The sequence below is a fragment of the Homo sapiens genome, chromosome 6 (assembly GCF_000001405.40).
Source record: "Homo sapiens chromosome 6, GRCh38.p14 Primary Assembly".
Lineage (NCBI taxonomy): Eukaryota > Metazoa > Chordata > Mammalia > Primates > Hominidae > Homo > Homo sapiens.
In genome coordinates this window covers 140,248,725-140,256,992 of record NC_000006.12, presented here as the reverse complement: position 1 = coordinate 140,256,992, position 8,268 = coordinate 140,248,725, and the positions used below count along the sequence as shown (strand labels likewise).

The 8,268-nt window shown below is 35.8% G+C and overlaps 1 annotated feature.

The window, feature by feature from the left end:
* Positions 297–798: an enhancer, noted in NCBI's record as "NANOG hESC enhancer chr6:140577332-140577833 (GRCh37/hg19 assembly coordinates)". NCBI's record gives its function as "activates a minimal SCP1, AML or CMV promoter by ChIP-STARR-seq in naive and primed H9 embryonic stem cells {active_cell/tissue: H9 hESC(naive and primed)}" and the evidence as "EXISTENCE:reporter gene assay evidence [ECO:0000049][PMID:30033119]".

Sequence of the window (8,268 nt, the reverse complement as noted above, 5' to 3'; positions counted from 1 at the left end):
ATGTTAATTGGTTTAAGTATTCACCCACATTTTATGGAGAAGAAAATATCTGTTCCTTCTGATGCTAAATTTATATAATAGTATCACTTGGACATTAGAATAATCCAGATCAGTCTGTTAAGCTTAGTAATACCCAAAAGGACTAGTAGATAAATTCCTAATGTGCAATATTTCTAAAGAGTTTTCAGGAATATCAGGAAACTGAGTTTCCTTCCTCTACTTACCCTATATCCCCACAGGAGAGCCAATTAGCTAACCAGTGACCAGGAAAATCTCCAATACTTCTCTAAGTGAGTCAAGTCCTGATGGCAGTTATGAGTGGTGACGATATGCTAAGTAAAGGTCTCGTTTTCTGGGAATACCTATGAAGTTCTTACAGCATGTTTATGTCCCTTTGATTGGGCTTTGTTTTTGTGGGAGGCTGGCATTATTTTTATGTAAACCAAATTAAGCCTCCACCCCACATACTATAATCCCCCCCAAAGAAAACATGCCAGAATTGCCATATCCCAGAAGTTACCTAATGAAAGCAATTAGTCAGCATTCCTACATCTGAATACAACTTACAGTGTTGTATTTCTTTGGAGGCTTTGTTGTGGTTTTGACCTGGGCTACACATTTTTCTTTCTTATTTAAACTGAACTTCTCGAGATGACATCATATGATGATGTATTACATTACACAGAAATATTTCTATTGACCTTAGCTTGATGAAAAATAAACATATTGATTTTTTTTCTGGTTTAAATACCATCTGTCAAATAAGCTAGATATTGGTATATCTCTCTTTTGCATGGCACTGGGCCACATCAAACCAAATTTCACCTTTTTATATAGCAGATGAGAAAAATAAATCACATTTTAGATGGATCCAAGAAACAACTGGCCAAGACAGTATTTTTCATGTGTGGCGTTCGTTTGTTTGGTTCATTGGTTTTGGTTTTGGTAATTTTTTGTCAATAGTTTTCAAGTGCAAAAGCAGTCAAGCTTTTTTGCTTACCAAATCATTGTTCTTAAATTCATTCCTAGTTTTGTTTTATTGTTTGTTTCCCTCATTGCATATTATGAGTTAACATTTTTTATTATATCTAAAATTATTCATAAATATAATCTTTCTTATAAATAATTTTAATGGGGTAAATAGAAGTGATTCTAAATTCTAAAGTCAAGTTTTAGCGTGGCACATAAATTGATTATTGGCTACTGCTCAATGTGATTATTTTAATAACAATTTCAACAGGCATATGAGAATGTTACTGTTTATGAATGCACAGCAAGATAAAATAAACACAGTTCTTAGTTTCCCAGTACAATTTAACAGAGTTCCAAAAATAAGGGAAAAGAAGATTGGATAGTAATCAGGCATTAGAAATGTTAGAACAACACAAAGAGAAGAACATTAACTATTAGCCACTTCAAATTCTTGTTTTGAAATCAGTTGGAGATTAAAGTAGAAACAGAAAGACTGGAAGATAAGCAAGTGATGGTGGTACAAGAAAGGGAGGAAAAAAGAAAAGACAGGAGAAGGGAAAGAAGGAAAGGAGAAAAAGAAATAATTTTTCATCTTACCGAAAAGTTACTTGTGTTTATATGCAATGCCTCTACTTAGTCAAGATTTATCACCGTAAACCTAGCCCAGATTAGAACATTCATTATCATTTTCAATAGTGCTCTTTTCATACAGCCTATTGCTGCCTGCAAGTCCTAACACTTAGGTCACTGAAAATCATGTGTAACTGCTCTTCTTCCACGTTTTCTGACTTATCTCAGTTTATATGATCATAATCTATCTCTTCAGACTCCTCCGTGATTGTCTCTTTCATACGCTCTTCCATTCTAAAGCAAAATCCAGACTGTCAACATAGCTCTCTCAAAAATATGCCATCGATCATGGTATTTCCTGGCCCAAAAGGTTCAGACAACTTACCATCACCCTGACCACTTTTTCCATCTTAATTCCTGTCATTTTCTCTGTTCCATGGTTTAATCTAAAAAAAATTCAACCTTACAACATTTTCTGCACCACCTGATTAATATCTTGTCCATATTCTCTTTCACTGGACAATTTCCTCGTTATCTTTAAGACATAGTTCCATTGTCAAGCCTTTCTTTGAAAATCTTCTTCAACTTACCTGGCAAAATCAAATTCTCCTTATTCTGTACCTCAGTAAGGAATCACTTTGGTTACTCCACTAAAAGTGTTTGTACCACCATTTCTCAAATGCAACTGGATTGTCAAACGATTTGAACTTCAACGGGTTGTAAACATAAAACAATTTTTCTCTAATAATTGGCTTCCAATCATGGTATGTCACATCTTTTTTTTCTTGTCTCTTAATAACATGTCAGACTTATTCTGTATTTTTTCTGGTCACTTTTGGTAATTAAAAAATTATATTTGGCCACTTTTGGTAATTAAAAAAATTTATGTTTAGTCCAGTCTAAATCTGAAAACTCATATGTAGTTTAGCAGTCATCTGCACCACAGTGACATAGTAGAAATCCAGTGCCAACCAGATTTTGGCCCAAGGGAACTCAAGTGAGACTGAGCGTGATCTGCTCTTTCACTTTTATCCTTTTCTTTTTCAGGTTTTAGCTATTTTATGATTTAGATCTGGCCAGAGGAATGACAGGAAAATGCTCAACATCTATTTACTGAATAGGAATACAACTGTAATCAGCTGTTGGTCCCTGCTATCATTTACTTGCTGATGATACTCTTCTCTAGGCATGACCTGTGGGGTCTTCCCCATAGCACATCTCCCTGGCAGGTGAGAATTTCCCTGACTTGATCTCTTTTGCCTTTCCCTCTGACTCTGTATTGAGTCTCTTGAGTGGGGCACTGGCAGCCCCACCTAAGATTTTCCACGGGTGGCATGCCAAATGATGGGGCAGAGTGGAAAAGACTGGCAAATCCTCTTCTGACCTGTCTCTCTTTCCCACTCCCTTGCTTTCCATTTCTTCTTTTCAGTGTTTATATGGATTCAGCATATTTTACCGGGCCTGGTGCATGTTCAAATAGGGCTTAAAATGCCAATCTTACCTCCAAGTATGAAAATATCATTCTTACTAATTATTATCCAGCATATTATTTTCTGTTTGTTGATAGAAAGATAATTATTCTCCATTCTCCAAACAGTTATCCCTAATTCCATTACAATAAATTGGGACTCTGATACTGTCTTCTAATCTTTATAATTACCCTTAGTTTTCTCCTTTCAATAGATGGGGGAAGGAGAATCAAGAAGTGGGAAAAGGTGAATAGTTTGAGAAGCAGAATTAATTCTTAGGAAATCTGTTTCCCTGTTTAAAAAGTAGAGTACTTTTTGCTTTCTACTTTTCCAAATTTGAATATTATTTTATACTTCTGGAGAAAGAAAAAGTTTTCCACTTGATAACCTCATTGTAGGTAATAAATATTTGTCCTATGAAGCAATGAATGAATAAATTAGTCAGTCAGTTGTTTTTTTCTAAGTTTGAGTTATTAGAATTCACACTATCAGATGGAATTTAATAGAGAATTAGGTAACTCTCAGATATTCTGAATGGCCAGGGAAATAAGTTTGGAGGCTATATAACCAGGAATAACACAATCACTAAATAGATGCTACTACTTTCCTGAAATTGTTCTAAAAGATACCCTACTGTTGAAATGCAGTCTTAATCACAAAACAAATTTTTGATTAGTCATCTCCCAAACATCTTCCCATACTCAAAAGCAAAGCAACTCTAGCAAAAATCACGTATCTTACCTAATAGACTTTAACTATCATCATTCAAATGAAATATGCTCACTCCTCAACAAAAGAGGTCCATATTCTCATCAGATGCCACATGCATTGTTAGGTGATTTTTTTTTTTGTCCATAGTTCAGTCACTATCTTGGCAAGGTGTCCTCTAATTTATGTACTAAATTACATTTAATTATCCACTACATTATATTAATTAATAAGGAAATGAGTTTGAAAAAAAGTGAATGCATCTGAGTATACACATAACTCAGTAAAGAAAACACTATGGGTAGTTCTATGGTTTCGTTCTGCATCCCCACCAAAATCTCATGTCTAATTGCAGTTCCCAGTGTTGGGAGAGGGACTCAGTGGGAAGGGATTAGATCATGGGGGAGGATTTCCCCCTTGCTGTTCTCATTATAGTGAGTGAGTTCTCACGAGATCTGGTTATTTAAAAGTGTAAAGCAATTTCCCCTTAGCTCTCTCTCTTTCTCTTCTGCTGCCATGTGAAGATATGTTTGCTTCTCCTTCATCTTCTGCCATGATTGTAAGTTTGCTGAAGCCTCTCAACCATGCTTCCTGTACAGCCTGTGGAACTGTTAGTCAGTTAACTCCTCTTTGCTTCATAAATTACCCAGTCTCAGGTAGTTCTTTATAGCAGTGTGAGAACGAATTAATACAGGTAGCTGCTATTGCTTTTATTTCTGGAATTCTTCACAAGACCGTGGTTTGTATTTATACCTTCTTTTCACTATACCTATATCCATTTCTTATTCCATTTTCTCTCAGGAAGCATCTTGACTAGCTATAGTTCTTTAACTGAAGAGAAAATTTAAAAAACTTTATGCCCAAGATACCTGTGCAGTCCTGTCTGCATGAGATAGAGATAGTATTTAATTCATAGTTAGCATAGATTGTGTTGCAAGCATGATTCTCCCTCCTCTCATTGTATTGCATCATGTGCACATCACTTGCTAACTGAGTCAAGATGTTTGCCTGGTGGTATGACCATCCAGTGGCAGGAAAAGCAAGCAAAAAAATGGCTGGTTGATTGTCTCAACTTTTTGTTCAAGGGCAGCGACACAACCGTTGTTGGAGGTATTGATTTCTTGTCTTATAAGATTTCTATACCAGTACTGTATAAAGTTACAAGAATAGGAAGCAAAAAAGTAGCTCTCTCTCTTTCACCCTTTGGTTCCCAGATCCGTGCCTTCCAGCTATGGGGAAATGTCACTATATATCATTTGCTGGTTAAGAACCTGTTCTGCATTCTGTAGGGAAACACCAAAACTCCTTAATGCATTTTTCCCATCTGGTTCATTATTTCGTCTTAAATAAGGATTTTATTTTTATAAGGTAAGGGCTATTTGGTAATAGAATACATGAATTTTTAAAAAGTTTAAAAAATAAATTCCATGAGCACTAAAAAATCTCCTTACTTCTTCTGTTGCAAAACAAATTCATTGGTCAGAAACTATATTTTGTTTTGCTCATTTGGTTTTTATAACAGAAAATAAGAAAATATATTTATGAATAAAGTTTCTGCAGGAATAAGTTAGGGGCTCTGCATGGTGGCTCATTCCTGAAATCCCAACATTTTGGGAGACCAAGGAGGGAAGATTGCTTGAGCTCAGGAGTTGGAGACAATCCTGGGCCACATAGCAAGACCTCATATCTAAAAAACTATATAAATAAATACATACATAAATAAATAAATAAATAAATAAATAAATAAATAAAAGACAAAATAAATGTTAGGAAGAAAGGAAAAATTCATATCCAGAATAAGAGTCAATTATAATGAGGACAAGACATTGCCCTTTCAAAATTGAAGTCTCCAACATAACTGACCTTCTCCAAAGTGGAAGATTATTCTCTCCAAATTATGGTGCTATAGCAAATGTTCGATGTACATCCCACACATGGCAGGTTGGGTACTCAAGAATACCAACATCAGTCAGGCACAGTGGCTCACGCCTGTAATCCCAGCACTTTGGGAGGCCAACACGGGCAGATCATGAGATGAAGAGATAGAGACCATCCTGGCCAACATGGTGAAACCCCGTCTCTACCAAAAATACAAAAATTAGCTGGGTGTGGTGGCGGGCACCTGTAGTCCCAGCTACTCGGGAGGCTGAGGCAGAAGAATCACTTGAACCCAGGAGGTGGAGGTTGCAGTGAGCCAAGATCACGCCACTGTACTCCAGCCTGGTGATAGAGCAAGACTCTGTCTAAAAAAAAAACAACAAAAAAAAACAAAAAACAAACAAACAAAAATACCAACATGAAGAGCACCCTTGAGGAGGGTTGTCTCATGCTCATAAGCCTATCTGTAGACTTTCATTGTGGAACATTGTTCATGATCACATAAAATAAGAGCTGGGATGAGTGCAAAAAGAGACTGCCTGACAGAAACAAAAGTGAATCTTTTAGCTGATTACTGAGAGATTCCTCTGTAGACAGAACCATCTGCTGATCATTTACATGGGGCACAGATATTTCAAATGTGAGACCAATTTACATAATTTTCCCTCAAACCTTACTATTAATCTCCCAAACTTGTCCTTTCAAATCCCTGATCATCTGGCCAAAAACCGTACCTCATAAATTGAAATAAAGCCACACCATGCTCATCATTCCCTCTAATCAAAGAGAAAAAATATCTATACTCCTCAAAGTTTTGCTTACTGAGAGGATTTCTTTACTGAACTGTCATCCAAGGTTAATTATAAATTATATTTCTAGAGTATTCTACTTCTGATTGGTGCCAGAACATCTTACAGAGGTATTCACAGCTAGATTTCAAGTTTATCATCCTCAGTCATTAGGCACATAGAACTCCCTGAAGCTCCAAGAATTGGTTGAGGAAGAGGTAGCAATGCAGCAGGAGCAAGCACATGGAGAAAGTGATCACCTATTCATTTCCCTTTCTCATACCTTCAACATCTTCTTGAGTTTATTCTCATGTATACCACTTCCTGGCTTGCCAAAAATTATGTGTTTTGTGGATTAAATAACACAAACCATGATGGGAAGCTCAGGTCACATGATTAAATGGCATCTCATGAATATCCATAGAATATCTAACAGAGGCAAGTGCTATTTTTCAAACTAGTATAGTATTTTTAAAGGATATAGCTTTACTTAAAACCTAGAAGCTGGTAGTATGATTCTTTTCTTCAGGCTTGTCACAGGCTCCTTTCAGTATCCCAGTGGGTCACAAACATGTCCAACATCGCTAAATCTGTTTGCTCATATAGACTAAGTGGAAGAACTGCTTGTCCTCCAGCCCGAGGAAGCTAGAAGGTCTTCTTTTGTGCTTGGTCCCAATTAAAAACTAGTAGCCTAATTATCCAATAGATAGGTTGAGATTACAGATATACCAAATATCTACTGCTTCCAAAATTCAAATTAAAATTTTTTTTAAGGCTGGACATAGCTAAAAGCAGTGTGATTTTTACATTGAAAACAAGATCCCAATGTACTTCAAACTATTGGGTCTTGGGAAAAATTGATATCCTTTTGGGATTCTAAATTTCCTTAGAATTACATCTTACCCTCCTGAATGCATGTCTCTTATCAAAGCATCTAGGTACCTGTTATTTCTTGCTCCCTATATTCTATTCACACACTCCATCAGTGAAAAGGACTGGTGTGATGTTTTGGGTGATGTTGAAATTATAAGATTCTCTGCAGATATAATTATGGTCCAGAGGTAGAGAAATAACATATTTCTAAAGTTAGACACTGAAGGTATAGTATTTGCCTGACCAGATGAAATAAATTCCTTCTAGTGTTCTCAACTTATCAAAATAGAAAGTTGGCAAAAAACAATAACTGCATATAAAGTGTCATGGTGACATATGGTACTTATTTGTATTATTAAAGAATCATATACCCCATAAGATATTAAAAGCATCAGTTTAAACCATTTTGTCTTCTATATAGGCAATCCGGTCACTTAAATTGGGAGGAGTAGATGAAAATTCCTATATCTTTTAAGTCAGTCCTTAATTTTGTTACTTTATGCTCATTAGCTCTTCCTTACAAGGAAAAAAATAGCTTTTTCAGTACCCAGAAGATTAGCAGTAACTCTGTGCCTATTTTCCAATATCTAAAAACAATCTGTTTATGTACCTTTTCCACTGCACAATTACTTTGGTGAATGGTCATAGGTTTTTTGAGCAAGGCTAAAAAGAAATCTTATTTTATATACTTAGGCTGTTTCAAACATCTTCTTCCAACAGATCTGGCTTTGCATTCCTGCAAGCTGTGCTGTATCTCTAAACTTATTTGGGTTTAGCAATTGAGTGGGTAATAAAATTGGCCATTTTGCAGCTCAATTTAGGCCTCAGTTTAGTAGACTATTTTGTCTTTTTAAAAATTTTTTTGAGTGAGAGAAGTATTAATAGCAATTAGGAAGGACTTAGGAACCTGGCTATCTATTTTGGTACCAAAGCCTTTATGACATATTGGAGGTTGACAAAGATCTAGGTGGACCAAAATATTCTGCTTACCATTCTTTCTTTGTTGCCCA